Here is a 24,014-nt window from a genome sequence, read left to right as displayed (position 1 = left end):
CACATCCTCAGCAGCACTTGGTATTGTCAGTCTTTTCAATTTTACTTTGTGGTTGGTGTGTAGTGCAGAGTAGAAATAAAAAGAACTTCCTTAGCTTAATAAAGAGTTCCTACCAAAAATCTACAGTAAACATTATACATAATGTTGAAACTTTAGAAGCTCTTTCTTTAATATCAGGAAAAATATGAAAGTACTTGTTAACATGGTTTCTATTTAATCTTATACTGGATGTTCTAGTCAGTGTAGCAAAACAAATAAAATGAAATAAAATAAATAAGTAAAAATATGCAGGAAAATTCTGAAAAGGAGGTCCTGAGGGATGATCAGTCCTATTGGCTATTAAAATAATAACTAAAGCTACAGTATTTTTTATGGCATAAACCTAAAGCATTAAAACATAGACCAATGACAAATAATATAAAATTAAGAAATAGACCCACATATAGATGAAAAAATGTAGAATATGATAAATAGGACATTTCAAATCAATAGGGAAAGAGGGCTTATTCAACTGTGTAGCCATTACAATAATAAATTTGGATCTATACCTCACTTCTTATAACAGAATAAACTGCAAATAAATTAAATATTTAAATCTGAATTAATGAAAATATAAACCTACTAGAATAAAACACAATATAATTTCTTTAAAAAGGGCCTTTGTAGCGAGATACAAAATAAAAAACTGATACATTCTATTTCATAATGGTATGGCAAAATCACCAAAATATAGGCAAAAGTAATTGTAACACATTCACAAACAAAGGGCTAATAAGCCATTTGCCTTATTAAGGCAAAGAGCTAATTTTCCCAGTTTCTAAAGAGCTTCCCTCAATTTCTAGGGGAAAAAACAGATTTTATTTATTTATTTATTTAATTTATTTTGAGATGGAGTCTTGCTCTGTCACCCAGGCTGGAGTGCAGTGGTGTGATCTTGGCTCACTGCAACCTCCGTCTCCTGGATTCAAGTGATTCTCCTGCCTCAGCCTCCCGAATAGCTGGGAGTACAGGCACATGCCACCATGCCCGGCTAATTTTTTGTAGTTTTAGTAGAGATGGGGTTTCACCGTGTTAGCCAGGATGGTCTCAATGTCTTGACCTTGTGATCCACCCACCTCAGCCTCCAACGTGCAGACTTTATTTTTTTAAAAAATATGATTGAACTGACAAAGTTGAGAAACAAAAAGAAAGGTCCAAGACTACTGGAATAAAATCAATACATAAAAATTAATAGCATTTATCAAAAAATAAATTTATCACCAACTTACAATATGTACATTTACCTTAGATATAACAAAGAAATCTATGAATCAATCTATTAAACAAAACCACAAGATTTTCTCAAGAATATAAAATTCTATCAAAAATATAAAATACATTATTAATATTTATGATAATAATGAGAAAAAATGAAAACCCTATCAGATAAATGGACAAAGATATAAACAGGCAAATCAGATTAGAGAAACGCAAATGACTAACCAACATATGAAAAGATGCTCAAACTCCCTGGTATTTAGGGAAATACAAATGAAAACAACCATGAGATATCACTTTGCAACTGCCAGAGTGGGAAAATTAGGAAGATGGATAATGCCAAGTATGGATGGGAATTGTGGTTACAGAGACTCATATGCACAGCTGCTGAGAACACAGACTGGAGGAATCACTCTGGAAAGCAATAAGGCAGTACTTAGTTCAGAAAGGTGTATGTATGTCTGATGACCTAGCATTCTCTCTTACCCAGGAGGTGGCAAGGACTGGGGAAAATTATAGCAGCACTATTTGTTGTAGTGCAGAGCTAGATGCAATCCACAGAAGTCTGCTAGTTAAGAGAAGTATAGCATAATGGATGCATAGAAGCAAATCAGGCAGCACCCAGTAGTCTTAGACGGATCTATGATGTAAATAGATCTTAAAAACCTAGTGCTAGGTGAAAAAAAAAGAAACAATATGAGATCCATAGCACAACATCATTTGTGTGCATTTATAGTACGTAAACACAAAATAAAAATTCATGCTAATATGACCATGTACAAATAAAGAGATATATATTAAGCATATTAGACTGGGGTCCTATGATGAGGATGAGCAGGATGGAAATTAAGATCGTAAATAAAAAGAAATCAATCAATAAAGAATGTGAGATTTCACGTATCAATGATTGTGACAGGCCATGAACATAGGCATATGTTAGCTTTTTGCAAAACAGTGTGTGTATATGCACATAAATGTGTATGTGTGTATCCTAAAATCTTTCATGTTCATTTACTCAGTCACTCCATATCCAGAAATATATTCCAAGGAAATAACCCAAAACAAAGAAAAAAGAATCTATCCAAAGATATTTATTGCAGCGTGGTTTTCAATACTAAACAATGTAAACAATGCAAATATTTAACAATAAATACAGTGATTAAATAAGCCATGGCATATCCAGTTGATGTAATACTTTGCAACCATTAAATTGATGTTTACAAGGAGTTTATATTGACATTGGTGATGCTAATAGCATATTAATAAGTAAAATGTATGGCATAAAATTGTATTTGTGTGAATACAATTAAAATTGAGGCATGCTTTGAAAGGTTAATAGAGGAAAGTACACATATGTGAATAGTGGTTTTATATGAGTAGTAGAATTATAGACAATTTTTTCTTTCTTCCTGCATTTTCAAATGTAATTTAATGAATAGCTATTACTTTCAAAAATGTAAGACAAATTATACCAAGAAAAGAAAGCATTGCTTCTAGTTTAAATGCAAATATCCTAAGAAATACAACCAATTATGAGCTGTCAGTACTTTTCCTAAGAGCAAGGAAACAGAACAAATTATGAATCCACCTGAGTTCCTGGAGCTGGGAACAGCCAGTGAATGCTGGTTTCTTTAAATAACAGAGTGTTCAACTAGATGCTTTGACTAAGTCACTGAGACAGAAAAGAGGTGGAATGCTACAGTGAGAGCTAGAAACATCCACAGTATGATAACAAGAAACTGGTTCAGACAACTCTTAAACCAACATTGAGGAAATACAATGTCTGTTTGGGCTGCTATAATATCATAAACTGTGTAGCTTATAAACAATATACACTTATTTCTCCCAGTTCTGGAGGGTGAGAAGTCCAAGATCAAGGTGCCAGCAGATCTATGTCTGGTGAGGGACTGCTTTCTGGCTTATAGATGGTGCCTTCTCACTGTGTCCTCACATGGTGTTAGAAGTGAGCAAGTTTCCTTGGACCTATTTTATAAGGGAACTAATCCCATTTGTGAGGGCTTTTCCCTGAAGTTTTAGTCAACTCCTGAAAGGCCCCATCTTCTAATATCATCACCTGGGGCGTTAGGATTTCAACATATGAATTTTGGGAAGACACAAAGATTCAGACCACAGCCTACAGGGAGAGAGGATTTCTGAGGATGGTGGTGCACTGTGAGTCCACGCAGGCCTCCTGGGCATAGGATGGAGCAATTCTATCTCACCTCAGGCCTAGCACAAAGGGCTTCAGTAAACCACTGGAGTTTCCTTCATTAGGATTCCATCCCAGGATATCCAGAGGACAAGAGGCTGGCCAACTGCAGGATTAGCCTATGCTCCCGTGCTGGATATAGGCTACACGCAAGAGAAAGCTTGGGTGGGATCTCCTGATATTTCACCCGGCAGAGCTTCTAGGCAGAGGAATTGCTTCTCACCTTACCTGGCAACAGGAGGGAGGATATGGTTGCTGAAAAGAGTACATTCACCCAGGTCGAGGGGGTCCAGTTGCAATACAAGGAGTTGGTGGTTGGTGGGTCTCCTAAGAGCATCCATGAGACAAAGATCCAACTCTAAAATTCTGCTAGGCACAAGAAAAACACAATGTTTTTATTTAATAAAAGTGCCAATGAAGTCATATATTTCCTGACTGCTTTACTAGCCTTCCTCCACCATCCTCTCCACATCCCCCCTCCCCCAACCCCTACACATGCTCATGCTCTAGAGGAGTGGGGTCTAGAGTTATCAACATAGGTCAAAAAGTAAAAGACAGGCAAAGCTGTTCCCACTGGGAGAGAGGCAAGTCCCAGGACTTTTAATGAAGTTGTAAATTGACTCTTTGAAGGGTATAGGCTTTTCAAGCTCCACTTGAGATTTTGTTTCTGCAACTTGGAGCACCATAGAACTTTCTGTTACCTAAGAGAGAAGAGAAACATTAATGAACTGGCCTGACTTTACCCAGTGACAGGGGAGAAACTACCTTCATGAATAAATGTGGGATTCAAAAAAACAGGATAGTTTTGATTGTATTACTTCATGCCAGTTACATGTGTATTTCACTGATGTGGTGATTTGGCAGATGGACGTCCTGAGTATGAACACCAGGAGAAGCTAGTTGGAAGCTACTTGGAAAGCTAGGCAAGATCTCATTGCAGTGGTTCTCAAAGTGTGGTCCTGAATCCTGTGGGATCCCGGAGACTCTTTTACAGGATGCACAAGCTCAAAACCATTTTCACAATTCTACCATTTTGGCTTTTCTCCTCTAATTCTTATACAAGTGTTTACAGGGGTTTGACAAAGGTTACAGGATGTGTTATATGAGAACAGTTTGAATGCAAAGGCAGACATAAGAATCCAGTTGTCTTCTATTAAAACAGTCATTTAAAAAATTTGCAAAAGTGTGAAACAATGCCACTCTTCTCACTCTTCTCTTTGGAATATATAGTTCCTTTTACAAAAAGCATCACTATGTGACAGGTAATAGTTTTGTGATTTGGAATTTTAAAAAGTGTTAATATTTTAAAATCTAGTATTATTTCTATCGTGGCAAATGTTGACAAATATAATTTCCATAGAAAAAAACTCTATGGCCTCCCCAGTAATTTAAAGGCCCTAAGACCAAGAAGGTTGAGAACTGCTGTGCTAATAAAATAGGCAGAGGCTCCAAAGGGGAGACAGAGTCTATGAGGAACTGATGCCTCTACAGACTGAGGGATACAATATTTATACAATTTTCCTCTCACTTTTAAAAGTCTGAGTAAAGACACAAATAAAAACATAACTTTTATAATAAAGAATCATGCGTGTAAGACCTTCCTCCAATATACAACAGAGATAAACCTTGCAATAGAGTTTTCAGTTGAAAGGGCAGAGAAGTTAACTGTAAGCATTGGGAAGTCCTTAAAAGCAGTGAACATAGACGAGAGTGCAATAGTTCTCAGTGAAGGGTAGGAGGATAATGCCTGGAGAATCCTCTGGCCATGGGAACACAGCTGTGGGTACTATTTTTAGACTTTCAGTGCAGCTTAGATGCAGTCATTGAATAAAATATTAGGAGGAAGTATTTGTACTTCCTTTAATAGAATAGTGTCATAGTCCATTTGGGTTAAAATACCATGAACTGAGTGACTTATCCTCACAGTTCTGGAGGCTGAAAATCTGAGATCACAGTGTCAGCATGATCAAGTTCTGGTGAGGGCCCTTTTAATAGTTACAGATTGCTATATTCTCATTGTATCCTCACATGGCTAATAGAGAGAAAAAGCAAGGTCTTAAGTGTCTTTTTATAGGGGTACTATTCCAATTCATGAGGGGTCCACCCTCATGACCTAACACCTCCCAAGGGCCCCATCTCCTAATATCATCACTTTGGGGGTTAGGATTTCAACATATGGATTTGGGGAGGGTAAAATTATTGAGTCCACAGCAAGTAGTTCATATATTCATTCTAAGAAACACCCATTTTCATTGTCCTCAGAGCACCTCTATTTGGATAAAATTTTAGTTGCCCTTTGACTTTTATCAAGAAGTGTTTGAACTACTTCATGTCTGAAATTCAGCTAAGGGGGTTAAAAAATAAGTAAGAGAAGACCCATTCTCTCCAAAGATTTATCACCTATAAAGACAAATAAAACACATTCAAAAATTGGGAAACCTGCAATCTCAGTGATAAAAGAAAATTCACTTAGTATTTTAACTTAATTCAGCTAATGTCTGCTGATTGCCTTTTATGTACAAAGGATTGTGGGTGGACAGATTTATAGACATTTAGTCAGCTTCATCCTAACATTGTGAGTTAGGGTTCATAGTCTCCTGTTAAAAGGCTGAGGGATAGAGGCTCAGGGCAGTGACTTGTCCAAGAAGCAAAGAGTTGGATGTGTAGCCACGTGTTTTTCAAGTCCAATGTCCTTTCCCATATACCATCTTTCTCTGAGACTATTTACTGAGTGGGTTTCATTTATTTGGGTCTATTTTGATCTCCAGTGAGTTCATGGTTCATGAGGAATAACTAATCTAATTTAGAAATGGATACCAGATATGTTTTAATGAGAATGGTCATGGGTAACTTGTTTTACTGCAGCATCTCATGGTAATGCTCTTCCAGCTAAGTTAAATAGGGATCTTTACATGTGTAAATAGGTCCTTCATCCAGATTAGTGCCTGGCCTGTCTCATGTCATTACCCTGCTGTTAGGCCTGGCCAGTCACTAAACAGTTATTATTTTGTACAACTATTGCAGGTTGTTGCTGGAAAAATTTTGATTAAAATTGCAAATACACTTTTTATCCAGAATATTTAACTTCTTATTAAAAGCATGCTATGCATTGACGTTTGTTCTTGTTCAACTTATTTTTGAAAGACATTTTTCCCAACACATGATCAATAGCATAGTATTTATTGATGAATAAATGAAAAGTCCTTTGAGAATTACCTTGGACCCCTGGTTACCGACACAGACGCCTTGACTATTATCCAACAGATGCACCTCTGTTTCTAAAGTTGAGGATGAAAAACAAAAGAATCTGAAAATTGAGGCTTGATTCCATTTTGACATTTGGACATGTACTTGAGACTTTCATTCCAGGAGGTTGGACATCAAGTATAGGTGGTTAGTGTGTGTTATACAATTGGTCCAGAGTTTGAATGGATTTGCCTTTTTGAATACCCTGATACCTACCTCTCTAAGGTAGATCATTGTGAAAAATTAAGAGCTCATCTTCATTAACTGGCCACTACTAGAACTTTGATATAAATACCCCAGGCATTCACTGAAAACATTAAATGGGTTTTGTTCTATAAGAAAAAGGTGGAGGGAGACATTTGATTATTCCAGGAAAATCTTACAAAGGACAGACAGATGTTAACGTTTTGGATCAGAACCCCTGAGTTAAAGTGCTGGGTGTACTAAATGCAAGATAAGTGATACTGAGTTGGGTGTTTTCCCCTTCCAAGCCTCAGTGTCCCTATTTGTATGCAGGGAACAGTAAGACCTGACAGACACAAGGTTGGTCATGAGGACAATTGACTATGTAAGCTATACATTTCTGAGCAAATGTCAATAATTATTCTTCTGATGTTGTAGACTTAGTTGCCTCCTTGCGTTATTTCATCTTTATAAGCAAATATGATATTCAGGACACTATTGTAAGTAATAAAAGGTTTTTTCAAAGGAAACAAAATCATTGTGGCCCTATAAGGTTGGAGACTTAAGATATTATATAAATATTTGTTACTTAAAATTACCCTGATGGATAGATTCTTCCTCTAAGCAGCCCTTATTAAATTCCAGATGTAATCCTATTGGAAAAGTAGAACTACAACATCAGCAATACTCCTTGAAGGTTCTTGTCAATTTGACAGGCAGATAAATTTAATTTATTAAAAGATTCCGTCTAGCATTTTTAAAAGACAAGGGGTTTTTACACTGTAAATGGACTGTTTTCACAGCCTTATTAAAATAAATGCATAAAGTCAGCTGTTTTTCTTTGGAATTCATTAACATTAAGGAATTGCAGTCCAGAAGCTGATGGTTATATACCTGGATATTTTGGCAAACTTATCAATCTTTGTATATAATCTGGAATTTCTCCTTCTTAAAGTAAATGGGAATTGCACACAAGAAGGAACATTTCATTTGTATGATGTGCTGAATTTCATAGAGACATTTACTGTAGTTATTAGAGGCATTTAGAAAGCCAATGCTATGTGCCAAAGGCCATTGGAAACACATGAGCAAATTCAAGATTTCTTTGGACAAGAGGCTCAGATTTGTTTTTCTTCAAAGAAATTCAATTATTTATATTGAAAGAATACTGTCAAAGTTAACAGGTTTTCTGTTTTGCTTTTTCCTTCAGAAGGCCATTTTAAATTAAACACAATATGCTTTAAAATTGAAATATTTATATAGATTGTGAGCCAATACCATTTTTTTAGAGTTGTTAATTCCCTTTTAGCAACTGTTGCACCTCAATTATTATTTCTACTTTGGAAAAGGGTCTTGGTCCTGCAACATTCTGCACACTGCATCTGATAGTTGTCCTCATAGCTCCAACATCCTGCTTGTTCTTTCTCTTTATAGCTCCCCTAGCTCCTCAGCACTGGCCTATGAACCTGTCTTCCTGTCTATCAGCTCGGCCTCTCTCCTTGGGTGAGACTATCCTCTCAGGTCATCACGGCTTTGGGTCCAGCCCCACTCCAAGAAGCTCTTGCATTTTCACAGTTACCGATTAAAGAACCTGTCCCAACCCTGTGAACTGAATCTTAGGCATCCAATCAATCTATCAATCAAAGACCATGTCTACAAGTATACACTGGGAGGTGAATTAATTGTTAAATCTAATGCTAATAATCTGCTGATCTTGGTAGTTCAACATCAAAAGGACTTCGCTTAAACACATTTAAACTGTACTTCTACAGACTTCATAAGACCAAACTCACTCTAAAATAGTATTTAATATACAATGACAGAAGATAGTCTATTATATTTAAATAACAAGAAAGTATATTTATCTATATTTCTACCTAATAATAAAAAATTAACAAAAATGTGTAATTATCTCAGAAACATCATCCAAATATGCCATGCCAGTCAATGACTGTTTTTTGAAGCTGATGTATACCTTCAAGTGATTCTTCCTTTGAACTCCTATGGTATTTTTTAAAAAATTATACCTGGGTAATTACCTATATTCCAGGCTATAATGGATTATAGCTAATAGTGGGCCTGTCTCCTTTGTCCTGTCTCGTTCTTGAAATCTAGACTATGCTTTGTATCCACGTGAAATTAAAAAAAAAATGCTTGCCTTTATTAGGGACCCAACACATGTTTAAGGAGTTTATCTCCCACTAGGACATTAATTTCAAAATACAACTTACTGTTCTTGCTGTAGAATAGTTGTTTTTGAATTAAATTAGATTCAGAGAATTAAGTCAGTATTGATCGAGGACCTACTATAGACCAGATACTAGTTACTAACCAATCAAAGATCAAAGTGCCAAGACACCTTCCTCAAACTTATTTCAGAAGGCAATCAGGTTCTCATTAACTTAAACAGACTATGTTTGACATAGTTTAGGGGCTGAAAACTGTAATATTAAATGGACGGCATGATCATTAAATGTTTGGAGAAAGTGCTACACCAGAAGTTCAAATGGGAGAGGATGAATTTGGCCAGTTTTAGCTGTTTTTGTAGGGGGTGTTGTAGGAAAAGGAGAAGCTTCACAGAACAGCTGGTAAGTGAACAGCATTCTCACCAGGACTCTGGATGAGGAGGACTTTTACATGTGCCAAGTAGAGGAGAAGAATGCTCCACACAAGTGAAACAGCTTGAGCAAAGGCATACAACTACTAGGCTTTTGGGGAAAGGTAGGTGGTCCAGTACAGATGGCTCCCAGTGAGAATGCACTGTGAAGATCAGGGGATGAAGCTTCAGAGGCTGGGTGTTGAGGTTGGAGGAGGGGAGTACCGGACAGACTGGAGCAGAGCTTGCGTGCTGCCAGGGAGTCTGGGTTTTATCTTATGAGTTATGGAAAGTCCTTAAAGGCTGTAAGGAAGTAACATACGCAGAATTAATCTGGATTTAGAGCCTTTGTTTTGTTGGCCTATAAAGGATGGAGTAACTACCTCTCCTCTCATTTTCTTTCATAGATCCTGTCTTATAAAATTATACACAAATAAAGCAGACACATGCAAGGGGCACTGATTTCTGAAATCAGAATAGTGAGGCTGCATAATGAAAAATCTCCTCCACTGTCTACTCTGGAAATTGCTCTCAGGGCATAAGCAATATTTTACCAGAACCTCTATTTACCTGGATTTCGAATCCCAAATTAGTAATAATATTTCACTCTAAAGAAGCTCTCTAGAATTTTGACACTTTTTTTCTCAACAGGATATTGTGGTTTAAAATCCCAAATTAAAGTAGCTTGTCTTAGATACAGGCAACCTTAACCATGTCCAGAACCAGATTAAACTAAATTAAATGTCCAGAGGTGCTAAGAGAATAATAAGTCCCTATAAAAGTAAGGGGTGCTCCTCCTAGGAGTTCCAAGGAACACATCAATATAAAAGCATATATATTTCATAAGACATTAATCTAGTTACATTCTCAGTGCTCAATTGCATTTCAAATTATTCTAGCTGTTCAACCAGCCTGGAGGTCCAACCGTCAATCAAAGGAGGCTGTTTTTCTTCTGCTCCCCCTACTGGAAGGTCAGGCAAGGTGATTTTCTGCCCCCACCCCCCGACCCCATACATGCTGTAGGTGAATGTAGATGAATTTGCTTAGTAAGATTGGGAGAGATTTTACTTTCCAAAAGGTAAACAATACTTAGGTTTTCAGTAGACTCTTTCTCCGCTGACTGAACATCTCGGGCAGTCTACAGCCCATTCACTACAGTGGTCTATTCAAGAAATGTCTAGTCTCATCTTTAATTCTTGCAAATCAAACCTCAGGTGCCTTTGAAATTTGCAACACCCACAACTACCTCACCTGGGCAGAAATTAAATGACCAAGAGGAGAAAAATCTATATTTCCATAGTAATGAAACTCATAAAGTTCATTCAAGAAGAAATGTTTGTACCATTATACCCAGGACAGAGAAACCTTTTAAACTCTGTATAGCTAATCTCCCATCACTTGCAGTATAATATACCACAGTGAAGGTTCACATCATTCCAGCTTATTTTCTAAACAGAAACTAAATTTCTACTGTATGATTCTTAAGGAGAATCTCGTATAAGTTGATACACACCGTTAGCCCATTCCTACCGTGGTTTACCTCCTAGATAGATGCTGGGCGGTATTCCTCACATACCTTCCCCAGTTCCTCCATTGAGTGAATAGACTCTAATTTAGCACCTACTGCAAGTGTTAGACTTTCCAGCAGCAAAAAAGAGCAAGTCACAGAGCCTTCCCCAGTAGACCTAGGAAGAGACAGACATAAATTGGTATTTGTAGTTGAAGAGAGAGTCTGGGGGTGCTAACAAACTACAATGGGAGCTACAAAAGAAAATGACTAAAGCCACCTGAGGGGCTAGCATGGAGCTCGGCATAAAGCATAGATGAATAAGAGTTTGCTGTTCTGGAATTTAGAATGGTAATCAGGTTAAGGGGACAACATAGAAAGCCATGGAAGTATGAATGAAAACTACGTGTTCTACAAAAAGTCCTGTGCGACCCAAGTATAAGCTGAGAGTTGAAGGAAATGCAAGTCGGTGAAGATAGGGGCCAGACCATGGAATATGCTGACTGCCCCACTAAGGAGCTCAGGCTTTACTTGGGAGTGATGATTCTGTGGTTAGATACATCACTATAGGCACAGGTGTTTGGATAGAGGAGCTAGAGGGGTAGAGACAGGTGAGGAAGCTATAGAAATAGCCAGGTGTAAAGTGACAATCCAGATTGGGATAAATAGGTGGGATAAAAAACAGTAGTATACAGTATTCCTGACTATACCTAGGAAAGTATTCGTCATATCCCCAGGTAAAGGATGGTGTCTGTTATAAAATAGAATCAAGAGAGTACAAGAAACACCTACCCACCCGCACCTACACATACACACAACCAACTCTCTCTCAACGACCATGGGGGCTGTGAACTCTTCTGAGGCTTCTCCTGCACTATGTGCTCATTCCTGGGACTGAATTTGACTCTGGCCTTAAAAGACACATGGAAAATCTCACAGGACCTCAATGTTGTGGGTAGGGGGTGTGTCCTTAGTTCGCCAGCTCCAAAAAGTCAGGGGGCTCTATTGCTTCTTAGAGTTGATAAAATTATCCTTGAGAAGGGTTGACAGATAATATACTGGACATGCACTTACATTTGAATTTCAGATAAACAGATAAGTTTTAGTACAAACAACCTAAATATTGCAGGGAACATATTTATCCTAAAACTATAATCCTAAAATCAACAATAATTTATCTGAAATTCAAATGTAACTGAGCATCCTGTATTTTTATTTGCTAAATCTGGTAATCCTACCTCTGAGCCTTGCCTCCCTCTAGCTCAGACCCCCTGGGCAGACACTTGCACTGAGAAGTGAAAGGTGGGAAGAAATAAAGTGCGTGTGCTGTTGGGAGTTGAGAGATGTTTTACAAAGTCATCATGGGTATGATCTCCCTAGATCTGCTCACCCCCTTGCAGAATCTGAAATCTACAGTGGACTTGGAAGTGAGCAAAGAGCTGGTATGTCACAGGGCTGTCACAGGGAAAATAACTGAATTTAGAATAATAACTTATTTGCTAAAGTAAATGTCAGTGTACTTATAATAAAGAAGCTCTCAAATAGAACATTAATGTCTGTATCACCCATTGATGGCAAGAATTTCCTTAGGATACATATAAGCAATAGCCTTATATGATCTTTTTCAATTTTTTGAAACATTAAATGATGCTCAAAGTAACTTTTGAAGCATTCATTTTGTGCTTGAAATTTAGGACACTGACTCTATTCATACCTAGTATTTCATAAGTATCTATCCTTTGGACAAAATAAAGTTCAGAACTCATGTTCATATTAAGAACTGGATTATAAAAGCCAAGAGGCATAGCAATTATTTTAATATATAAATGAGTAATGTGTATTTAGAAAAACACCCATGACCAAACTCCATCAAATCTAATTTTCCCAGAGTTAAGTGTACATCTAGTAAATCTATTCCCATATACCAAAGAAAATTTTTAGCAAGAGCTACAATAAGCTTCCTTCTGAAGGAATAATCTTGTGATTTCATGCGAGAAAAATCTCTCCTTGAGGTGAATGAGAGATGAAGTTGTGAAAGTTACAGTTGGAACTATTTTGCTTTTCCCTTCGCTTTTCCCTTTCTGACCAAATGACAAGAGAACATTTTCTACTTTTCCTGGATTCTTTTATTGTTTTCTCTGCTAAAAGCAAATCAAATATTACAAATACCCTTCAACTCAAATTAGCCTTAAGCCCCATAAGTTATATTTCCAAGAGCCTTTTGTGGTGGAAAGAACCTGCCAATTTTGGTTAGAGAAATTTCTTTAGGCTCGCCTTTGCAGGCAAGGCAAGTGACGGGCTTTCTGGTTTTCCTGGTAACCAAGAATCAGTGAGAAGCACTTGTACTAGACAGCTGCCATAGTCTTACATTTATGGAGTACCTACTGTGTGCTTTCTACTATCAGCCATCAAAAAGAATGATAAAAGTCCACAGCATAGGAATCTGTTCATCTGAGTGTTCTGCCAAAAAATACAGTAATTACAAGTAGTGTCACCATCAGTGACAAGGGCAGGGAAGACTATTTTTCCTTTTTTTCCCAACTTATTCAAATACTTAAACCTCTTCTATTTCGAGTTCAAATGAGGTAAACATACAACCTCAAAGGTAAACTTTGAGTTATGAAATAATGGGATTTTATGAATTACTAAATGATTGAAAGATAGGATCTTAGCTTCTCTTTAGTGTCTTCAGTTAGAAGGGAGAACAGGTGTCCCCTGTTGAAAAGTTTATTAGCTCATTATATGATCTCATAGCCTCCCCACTTTATCTTGCTTCTTATTTTTCAGTTACTTCCTAATATTTACAACTTTCCTTTGAATTTTTTCCTTTTAGTTAGAGAAACCAGGAACATATTCTTCCAAAAAATGAGAATAAAACTAATTGCACAACTCCCACATTTTCTTTTTATTGTTAGCTTTAGACATAGCTGCTTGCTGTGCAGTTATACATTAGCTATATGACCTCCAGGGCTTTTCTTCCTGTTTTTGTATATCTCAAGTCACTCTCTATTTTAAGTAGCCTGTGTGTGTGTGTGTGTGTGTGTGTATCTGAATGAAATAATTGCTAGCTATAGGCAAAAATGTATGTGTACACAAGTATATATACATGTGTATATATGTATATGAGTGTATACTTACATATGTGTAAATGTACATATGTGTGTATGTATATGTATACATGTACATATATGTATATTATACCAATAGCTAGTAATTTCAAAAAAAACATTGACTTGAGTGTTAGATAACCATTCTCTAAATTCAGTTTTTGATGTTTCAAGAAACCCAAAAGCCTGTCTTTTCACCTACAGACCCTTTGTGCACGTGGCAAATCACCTCTGAAAGGCAAAAACTAACTGGATTCTCTTCATTTGTTCAAAAAAGAGAAGAAAGCTTTAAAGATATGCCTATAAATAAAAGAAAATTAGGTTGCTATATTATGATTGTGCAATAAGTATTAATTTCATTGAAGTTTGACCCTGTTCCATGTATTAGATGACTAAGACATTTAACTCTTAGGGATGTTGAAAGCGCACCACAAAACATAAGTAATCAATAAAGTAATGTTTGAAGACTTTTAGTATATACTGCTTATTCAGGTAATTAATTATTTTGTAAATACTAATAGCATATTTTTCCAAGAAAAATAAAAAAGCCATGTTCTAACAAAAGTGTTCACCACAGAAAAATTAAACATAGGGGAAGGTAAACATTAAAGTTTCAAAAAAACAGGTAAATCATACAGCTGCTTCTGTGCTTGATGTTCTAATCTGGCACAAGTGTTTCGTAACTATAATATACGTTATTATTTTTAAAAAATACTGTCATGACAACAGCTTACATTATTAAATATTGAGGAACACTTTATATCAATTTAACTCATACTTAAAAATGTAACATACGTAAATTCTATAGTTTTTTTTTTTTTTTTTTTTTGGAATGTACTTTGAGAATAACAGCATTTCAGGACTGGTTTTGTTTAAAGTATACCCAGCCCCCCTCCTTATTTTATTTGATTTTTGGTTTAAATAAAAATGTAGCAAAGCACTCTTTGAAGTAAAAGTACCTGTCTTTTCTTTTTTCTTTTTTTAAATCATAGTTTGTTTTACCTGAAAGTTGAGAAAGAATGCAGTATAAATATAGCTTTTCTCTACACGGGAGCAGGGGGAACAGAACCAATCCCCAGCTTAGCCACACCCAACATCATGGAAATTACTGTGAACCTGTTGTCTCTTGAGGACAACTAAAACCAAAACGAAATCCCTAACATTATTAAAATGTTAGGAAACTTTTCAGGTAATTGCTGTAACTCTGGTAAAATACAGAAAGATTACATTCACTCATAATAAAAATCAAGTGTGCCCACGCCATCTGCAAAGGGAACTTGCACCATCTTGGTTTCACTCGCATTGTTAACAGTGCCCTAAAAGTATACACCTTTTTCAGGATAAAACCATTAGGTAATATCTTGATCATATCCTCTGCATGATGAACTATCACTCAAATTATTCTGTCATGGGTTACCTTACTAACACTGACAAAGAGATAATAAATGATAATTTTAACAGGGATAGGAGAAACCTTGCAAACCTTTCAAGTTTCTTTCATAACTATTGTTTTATTATTGCATATTTTTAGAGGTATTATCATCAACCTGATCCTTTATAGGCCAATATAGTAACAAATGCTAATTTAACTGCCCAGCTCATTTTTATTGTCAGTCTAGCCTCAGCAAGTATAAAACTGACAAGACATTCCTCTATGAGAGTGACCCTCTTAGTGAGAGAGAAATCTATGTACCATCAGAGGAAATAAATCTTAGTATTCGGTGTGATAGAGACTAATTCATTTCTTTTGATGAAGTCCCACTCTTTGAGTGACTTTGAAGGGGGAGACAAAATGTCAAGAAGGAGTCCTGCAGGAACAAGTGCTTAAGATGGTGTTTAATACAGCAGGGAGCCAAGATACAGTAGTAGGACACAGTAAAGAATGTGGAGTGTGTAGATACAATAAAGAATTCATTTTATGATCTGCCACCTGTTACTTGAAAGAGGAGTAAGTTAGGGAAATAAATGACTCAGTTCTTCATACATGCAAAGGTAAGTTAGTTATTACAAAAGTTTTTGCTGTTGTTTGTGCTGAAAGAAAAGCATATGCATTTAAACATTTTTTAAAAAATAAATCACTCAATAGGCTTAAGAAAAATACTTTAGTTCATAGTTCATTGATCTGACGTTTTGATTTAAGATCAGGGGATGAATCCAGGATGAAAACCAAAGAAAAAAAAAGAAAAAGAAAGAAAAATATAGAAGTGAATCATTTACCATGAAAAAGGCATTTCCAGCCTCAGCTAACCTCAACTAGTTTTTATTGCATTATTTTTGAAATGCCAAGAAACTGGCTTTGGCCATAATACTTGCTGTCCAACAAAATCACAGCTGTTAATATGCAATTGCTTGCAACAATTAGCTAAACAGCATTATTTGACAAATTCCCTTGAAAGAGACATAGATGCTATTTAAGTGTCTAGCACACTGAATCAAGTAACTATCAGTTAGGCTGGGGCCGCAGCTGGAGGGAGGAGAGAAGTTTACAAATCCTTGTCCACAGAAGGTGTTTCACACCCAGCCTTAAGTTTTTGAAAAACACACATTTGTCCTGATCCTACAAGTTCATCATCCCTGTTTTCAGGAAGAACTGAACTGTGGAACTGGCCAAAGAGGAGGGGGAAAAAGCCACCAACTCTAGATTCATTTTTAAGGAGATCAGGAGGAGAGGAAGAAAAATAGAAACGCGTATGTGAAATGGTAATGATATACAACATGGAGAAAAAAATAAACATCGTGGAACCTGCTAGCAATTTCCACCAATTTCCACCAAAGCAGTGAACCCCTTAACTGACAGAAATTCAGTACAATATACACATTAATTAACAACTCCACCATTACTAGGGCTGCTGTTGAAAGCCAAAAAATTAACTACAATATTGAAAAACAGAATGCTTACAATATCTGAGAAAAATAGAGTGAAAAGGCAATGTTAGCTAAGCTCTTAGCTACATCCACTCTTAATGGCCCCCAGTATTTAAACTATCATGGATTAAAGCCATGAAAATAAAAATTTCAATTTGAAATTTTATTAGCCTGTTGCTAAAATGGTCAATAAAAACATCAACACGATAGGCTTTGTTGACATAGTTGGAAAACTGCTCTCTCATTTTTAAAACTTTATTTCCACTTCCCCAGCTTTGAAGATTTCTATGTTAGGAAAAGCCAAACTAAATATACTGGCTATGGTGTTGTAACAATGCTGGTTTCTGGAATGGTGCCATGTCCTCCCCCTCCCTCTCCTCCAACTCCTTTAAAAATATGACTATTTTTGAAATGCAGCCCGAGGAGGGAGCAATCAAGGGTTCAGAACAATAAGCGCCCTTCACACATTCAAGTTCCCAGACACCAGGTGAACGAGCGAGCTCCTTGTCGGGGGCGGGGCCGGCTGTCCTCACCGAATTCGCAGCGCCATCTTCCTCCCGGGACCGGGCCGGCTTCCCTTCTGCCAGCGAGGGAGACTCGCAGGCAAAGGCGGGTGGGGGTGGCGTTCGCTTCCCACGGTGGAAAGAACCGGAGGCAAACACTGTCTGGCTTAGCCCGCAGCCTGGAACACAATGTCAGGAGACCTGGGGCTGGAGAGCTGGAAAAGTCCCGGGCAGCCTCAGGATAACCCGGAATCCCGAAGTGCTGTCTTGGGGAATTATTCCCAAGTGCACAAGGGACAGGCTCGATTTCTTGGAAATCCTGCGATCTGGGGACGCATCCACAGAGGAGCTGAACTGTGCCCTGTAGAGACCAGTTCTCGCCTCCGACCGGTCTGTGTGCGCACGCTCGGGGCGGTGATGGTCCCTTTTGAGAAGAGGGTTGTTTTCGAGTCGGGCCACAGTCACTGGCCATGGACTCGCGGGGAAGGCCATGTCCTTTCTCCCCTCAGCCCCTTCCCCGTTCCCGGTTTACATCTCAAGGGGAAAGCGCACGCGGGGTCTCCCAGCACCGTCACCACCGCTGTGGCTGTCAGCCAGGCGCTCGCAGCGGCGCCCTTTCGGCCCTGGGGCAGTTCCTGAGACTTCCTGCCGCTGGCTTGGGGATGCGGGGGTGCAGCCCGGGCCCGGGCCACCGGCGGCGGACGCGCGTGGCGGGGCGGGGCAGAGGTTGAGAACCGCTGACTGCGAAGTCCGGGTGCGGGGAAGGGAAGGGAGCGAGGTGCGGGGGAGGCAGAGGGGCCGGCAGCCCCTAGGCGGCTACTCCTTGTCGTCCACGAGGTCGGCGAGCTCCTGGAGCACTCGCAGGCGGCCGCTGGCGTCGATACGGCGCTTCTCGCGGATGAGGTCTTCCAGGCTGTGAAACCTGGCGGTGTGGACCTTGTTCTCTCCCAGGTGCACCTTGAGATAGTACTGCTGCTGCGGGGGCTGCGTGCCTGCCGGCACCTCCCCTCCCGCCTTGAACTCCCGCTTGCCAAAGCGGCACCAGGCGGCGAAGCTCTCCGAGTTCGTCCAGCAGATCTCCTCGCTCTTGAGGCCCAGGTGGCCGCAGGCGTTCTGCACCACCAGCTCGGCCACCAGCGGGCGGTAGCGGTACCAGCTATTCACCACCCGGCCCACGTTGGCCGCGCCCGCCTCATACAGGCTGTCCTGGCGGATCTCGCCTTGGTGCAGGTGGATGATCTGCCCGCCGCCCACGTAGACGGCCCAGTGCGGGGCGGGCGCGGGCGGCTCCGGCGCGGGCTGCAGCCACAGCAGCTCCAGCAGGTCGCCGGGTTCGCAGAGCGCTGGCAGCGCGGTGACCGCGTAGACGCTTAGGTCGGCGCCCTGAGGGCCACCGCTCACTTTGGAAAAGATGCATTCCTGGCCCCGAAAGGCGGAAAACTGAGTCTCGTTGAGGACCAGCTGGTGCAGCAGGTGGTGGTGGTGGCGGCTGGGGCTCTCCGGGCAGGGGGTGCAACCCGGGGGGGCCTTCACGCCAAACTTGTCGGGCTGCCCGCGTTCGTCCAGGTCTTCCTCATCATCCGAGAAGAAGTAGGCAACCCCGACCCGCAGTTCGTCCTTTTCAATCCCCGACGGGTCCCCTGTGGGCAACTCGCTGTAGTTGAGGTGGGTGATGCGGTCCAGTTGGTTGCCCATCAATGAGGTGGCGAGGCGAGGGCCAGGAGCGGGGATCTGCGGAGGCACAGAGAGGCAGAGACACCGTCAGAGTCCGGGCTGCCCCTTTCGGTGTCCCTCCCCAAGACGTGCAGTGCCCCTGGGACCTGCCGGCTAGCTTACGTGCCCTCACCGGAGTCACCCTTTCCAGCCGAGTCCTCCGTGCCTCCCCAGGGGTACGAGGGGCGGAGAAGCCGCCACAGGTCAGGCGAGAGCAGACGCCACCACACAGCCTCCGACCCCTTCCGGGAACTCGGTCCAACTCCCAGAAGAAAACACCCAGGCTGGCTGGAGAGCTTGCGGGGTCCCGGTGGGGAGGAGAGTGCTGGCTGTGGCAGTGTGGGAGACGGACACCCAGGAAGGACCGAGGGGTGGGCTGAAAGGGAGAAGGGAGCCTAAGGCCAGTGAGCTGGGAGCAAGCTCCCATTTCTGTCCCCACCCTCTCCAGCCCACCTCCCAGTTTTGCACTAGGTTGCCTTCCTCCCCTTACAGCGGCTCGCACAATGACAATCAGACACATTCTCAGGCATTCACTTGACACCAGCAACATTTTGGACACTTGGGAGTCCAGACACTGGCAGCCTGGTATACTGGTGTATGTCACATACACCCACAATGACAAACCTTCGCGACGACACACTGGCACACTTAGACCCCACACATTCGTACACAATTTCAGCTCCACGCTTGCACGCTCGCCGTTGCACGTACGCCCAAGCACCCGGGCACACCTGCCCTCACAGGCAGGTGCACTCTGCCCCTTACTTCTCTTGCCTTGTCCCCATCAGGGCCAATGGGACTGCGCCAGGGCGAGGCTGCTCTGTCTAAAATAACCTAACAAAGAGGCAGGGGAAGGATGGAGAAAGCCAGTGCAGTGTATGTGTGTGGGTGTGGGTGGGAGCGTGTGTGTGTAGAGAGGTTCACTTTTAGCCCAAAGACCCCTCTCCCTCCTACCCAGCACAGGATCCAAACAATCGGATGAAGAAAAACCGTTTCCAAGGCAAAGAAAGCCGCTTCTCCCTACCCGTGATTTCCCTGCTCCCGAAACCCCAAACTCCTTTAAAGTCTCCTGGTCCCCATGGGTGCTGAGGAAGCGGCGGTGGCGAGTGGGTCCTGGGCTGCGCGTGGGGCTGCGGCTCCGCTCTACCCCGAGCCGAATCGTGCGGTGCGGCGCCCGTGCGCCTCCAGGTCTGCGCTGGCCGGGGCGCCTGCTCCCACTGGACAGTCCCGGCTCGGCTCTGCTTTCCCACCGCCGCGCCGACGACTCTAAGTAGCCGGAGCAGCCGGTCCCAGGGCCCGCCCCAGGACGCGCTCATTGGTTGGGGCGGGTGCTCGAGCTGTGTCAATCTTCGCCGGCGGGGGAGGGGAGCAGAGGCGGGCCTCCTGTGCGCTTTGCTCTGCTCCGCTCCGCCCCGCCCCGTACCCCGCACACCCGACCGCGCGCCGCCCCGGGGAGCGGAGGTGTGCGCACCCGCGGGGGGCGCGGCGCTTTCTGCCAGGTGCCGATGCCCGCTTGCGCCCGCGCCCCCCAGCTCATCCGAGCTGATTGTGACTGAGAACACAGCCCGCCCGCGTTCCGTGTTCCAGGAAGACAGACTCCAGCGGGGAAGCTGAGTCTGGGTATGGAGAAGAAACCCCAGGGCACCCCAGTATGGCCCAGGCACTGCGAGCGGCCCGGGGCAGGCAGCGACATTGCCCGAGGCGGGCGTCTGGGCCCTGCTGGGATCCCCCAGAGCCTTGGTTCCCGATGGCCCCTAGGCTGGTCCTTGGATCGAAGACCCTTTTCGTTCCCCAGACGTCTTTGAAATTGCTCCTGCGACGTTTGGCTCCTCTTCTTTGACTGGAGTGAGGCTGCTGACCCAGAGCTGATGCCCGATTTAAAAGGAGCTTGGTGTCAAATGCCACCCAAAAGCCTGAGCTTTGGCCGGTGCATTCCCTGGCTGTGCCTATGATATTGGCCTCCAATTTTCTGAATATAGGAGGAGTACCTCACAACTCATGTATGTGAGTTCATACATGCAAGCAGAGAGTAGGATGTAAAAGTGTTTTCCAAGCCTCAGAATTGGGATTGCTAAGCAAGTTTTGTTTGGTTTTGTGGGAAAGGAGGCTCCAGCAGTAGTTAATGATTACATTTCTGGATGGAAAGTTAATGAATGAATGTGTTCTGAATATTGGATGCTGAAAAAATGAACTTCATATATACAACATTCCAGACCAATAGTTTCAAAAGTTCCTAACATTAAGCCTCAAAGAGTTCTTAGACATCTGGTTCTGGCCCCAATGCTACTCATCTTTAAGCCTGGGCTCCAGCAGCTTTTCTATGAAGCCTCTTTTCTTTCCCAATGAGGAATTTGATACTTCCTATTTGAACCCCCCACCTCTTCCCTACAAAGCGAATTCCTTGAGAATAGACTTTGCATTCTGCACAACCTTGTATTCTGGGCCTCTTTCCCAATGCTAGTCATGCAGTGTGTTCCATCAGTAATAGTAAAAATGAAAACAGCCTGTATTGACCACTTATACGTGGTCAGACACTTAAGAGTAAATTAAGTAGACAATTTAATCATTATTCCTCTGTAGGGTACTCACTAATATCCGAATTGTAACAAACAGGGAAACAAAAGCTCCAATACTAGTACCAGCAATCCATCCAAGCCTACGGGATACCAGATCCAGTCTTTCACTAAGTTATAGTGTTTATTGAATAAAATCTTGTTTCATAAAATGAGAAAACTGGTGTTTCAGAGAAGTTAGATGATTGGCTCAAGGTTACATGGAGACTGATCCATATTACAACCCCCTTTTTCTTTGCTAGACTTTTCTGCTTGAATATCTTCAAACCGCCAAGCCTCCAGTTTATGTTTGCTTTCTGAAGGTCTCTGTACACCCCCACAGCCTCCAAATGCAGTGATTTATCAAATTAGATGCTAAAATATTGCTGGAAAAAATGGTTTTAAATGACCATCGGTATACAATTGATGTACCTAAATCTTTTTGGAAATTTGGCTATTGTCCATGTGCATGCAAGTTATCAGAAAACAAGTTGCCATTCGTGGAACTGACCACAGGTTGAGATGGCCTTTTTTATACTTGCCATAAGTAATAAACAACTCATTTTGGCCCTGAAGTCAAGAGAATTGAACAAGTAGCTTTAGAGATAAGGAGTGAGTTATTGGTCTTGTTATAAACTGGACTTCAGGGCTGTCTGGGATGAGGGTATCTGAAGAGTTCATTGTTGATGTCTGAGAAGAACTCTTTGAAAGCAACTCAGCGTTTGAATAACTTAAAAAATATCCTCCCTCCATCCCCAAGATCAAGCCTTGTGCACAGACATTTACAACTCATTTGTTGTGTTCTGCCCTACGTGTTCTATTTCATTCTGCTCCAGACTACAGAGTAAGCAGGTCGTTCCTCTTTGTTTAGTATTCCAATACTATAAAGCATAATTAAGATAAAATGTTGTCAGTTATTGGAGATATAGTGCCTAAAGTTTAAAATTTTTGGCCTCTCCGTTTCCTCTCATTCCCCCTGCTAGGCTAAACGGCTAACTGCTTTTGTAATCACATGGGAGAAAAAATACCCTGGAGCCCCCTTGAAACATAAGGCAGGGAACACATTGACTGTGAGGCTTGAAATAAAGGGAGCTAAAAGTAAACTAAGGAAAATACATCTACACTTTGTCTTCTTTTGGCACTTACCAGATAATAAAGTAAGACAATCAAATGAAGGATGCTGATTGTAGAAAATGTTTTATGTTCATCACAAAATATTGTTTTCAAATTGTTTTGACTTTTATTTTTTACTCCATCCTGCCTGCTTTTACAATGAGAAAATACAGTGCTGTCCAAAGTAGAATATAGTTGTCCAAAACACAAACTCTGAAAGCCAACTAATTTAAACTCTTTTTCAACATTTATTGCTGGGTAACCTCGAGTCCGTTATTTAAACTTTGTGGGCATCAGGAAACTTCCTTATCTGTAAAAAAGAGATAATAATAGTGGTTACCTCACTGAATTGTTGTGAGTTCATACATGTAAGCATAGTGTCTGACGCACAGTGAGTTTTCAATCAAGGCTATCTTATTATTATTCTTGGTGGAAGAGAGAGGTCTCATACCCTACTTGTTTAGGACAGCTGTGCAGTTCTCTTTCTCCTTTGCCCCAGGCTAAAGGTAGCAATAGATAGTGTCCAAGGCTTTCCCTGATTGGGGTGTAGGACTGCTTCTGTGTTAAGGTGGTGAGATCCCTGCCTATCCTTCAAATACTCTGAGACCTAAAGCTCTCTATAGATTTCAGCATGTGAGCCCCTGGGCTGATCATGTGGTAGCAGGGAGTGGGGTGGGGGTTCCCTGAAGGATTTTTAATTGTTTTAAATGAACATTTCCGGTGTGAGGAATTTGTGTGGGGAAAAAAGTTACAGGGGAGTGATTAGGAGTCAATCAAATGTATGTGATCTTTTCTGCTGGTGCCATCTGATGTATCCTCTCTCTCTCTTTTTTTTTTTTTGTTTTTGGTTGCTTCTTTGGCACTATTTGAAAAGCTTTACTCCAAATTTTACTGAACAGGTCCTTGGCTCAAACTGTCATCCTTTAAAATTGGCCTTGGAGCTTGGAGTAAGGGTTCAGGAAAATTATATGCCCCACTTTATCCTTTAATGAAATGAACTGTTCCATCTCCTGTCCTTCACTGCCTTAGGCAGTTAACATACTCACCCTGGTCTGAGCTAAAGAATACTCTGTGTCCATCTGGATTAGAGATGGTTATATGGCTTCACCAATCCCATTTCCCTTCCTTCTGGGCACCCAGCTAAATGACAAGTCCCAGCATGC

The 24,014-nt window shown here is 41.1% G+C and overlaps 1 protein-coding gene across 3 annotated transcripts; it reads right to left on the bottom strand.

The window, feature by feature from the left end:
• Positions 1 to 1,231: 1,231 nt before the first annotated feature.
• LRATD1 (LRAT domain containing 1) lies at positions 1,232 to 20,431 on the bottom strand. Of its 3 annotated transcripts, NR_144632.2 has the most exons (5): positions 20,211 to 20,431; positions 17,504 to 19,204; positions 11,032 to 11,176; positions 3,695 to 3,832; positions 1,232 to 3,609 (listed from the first exon to the last, which is right to left on the bottom strand). NR_144632.2 is itself a non-coding variant. In NM_001369364.1 (3 exons), the coding sequence occupies exon 3, from the start codon at positions 19,166 to 19,168 to the stop codon at positions 18,290 to 18,292; it is 879 nt and encodes a 292-aa protein (NP_001356293.1). In that variant the 5' UTR covers positions 19,169 to 19,204; positions 19,320 to 19,562; positions 20,211 to 20,431; the 3' UTR covers positions 13,107 to 18,289. The 3 variants fall into 3 exon arrangements, 2 of the variants coding, with proteins under 2 accessions (NP_001356293.1, NP_660158.2); NM_001369364.1 differs by lacking the exons at positions 1,232 to 3,609; positions 3,695 to 3,832; positions 11,032 to 11,176 and adding an exon at positions 19,320 to 19,562 and having other exon boundaries at positions 13,107 to 19,204; NM_145175.4 differs by lacking the exons at positions 1,232 to 3,609; positions 3,695 to 3,832; positions 11,032 to 11,176 and having other exon boundaries at positions 13,107 to 19,204.
• Between the last annotated feature and the right edge of the window lie 3,583 nt (positions 20,432 to 24,014).

Source organism: Homo sapiens, chromosome 2 (assembly GCF_000001405.40).
Source record: "Homo sapiens chromosome 2, GRCh38.p14 Primary Assembly".
In the NCBI taxonomy this organism is placed as follows: Eukaryota; Metazoa; Chordata; class Mammalia; order Primates; family Hominidae; genus Homo; species Homo sapiens.
The sequence above is the reverse complement of the archived record's forward strand: the minus strand, read 5'-3'. Positions and strand labels throughout refer to the sequence as shown.

Bases quoted from the DNA above. Each gene is read 5' to 3' on its own strand.
- LRATD1 (NM_001369364.1), bottom strand. From the start codon at position 19,168: ATGGGCAACCAACTGGACCGCATCACCCACCTCAACTACAGCGAGTTG.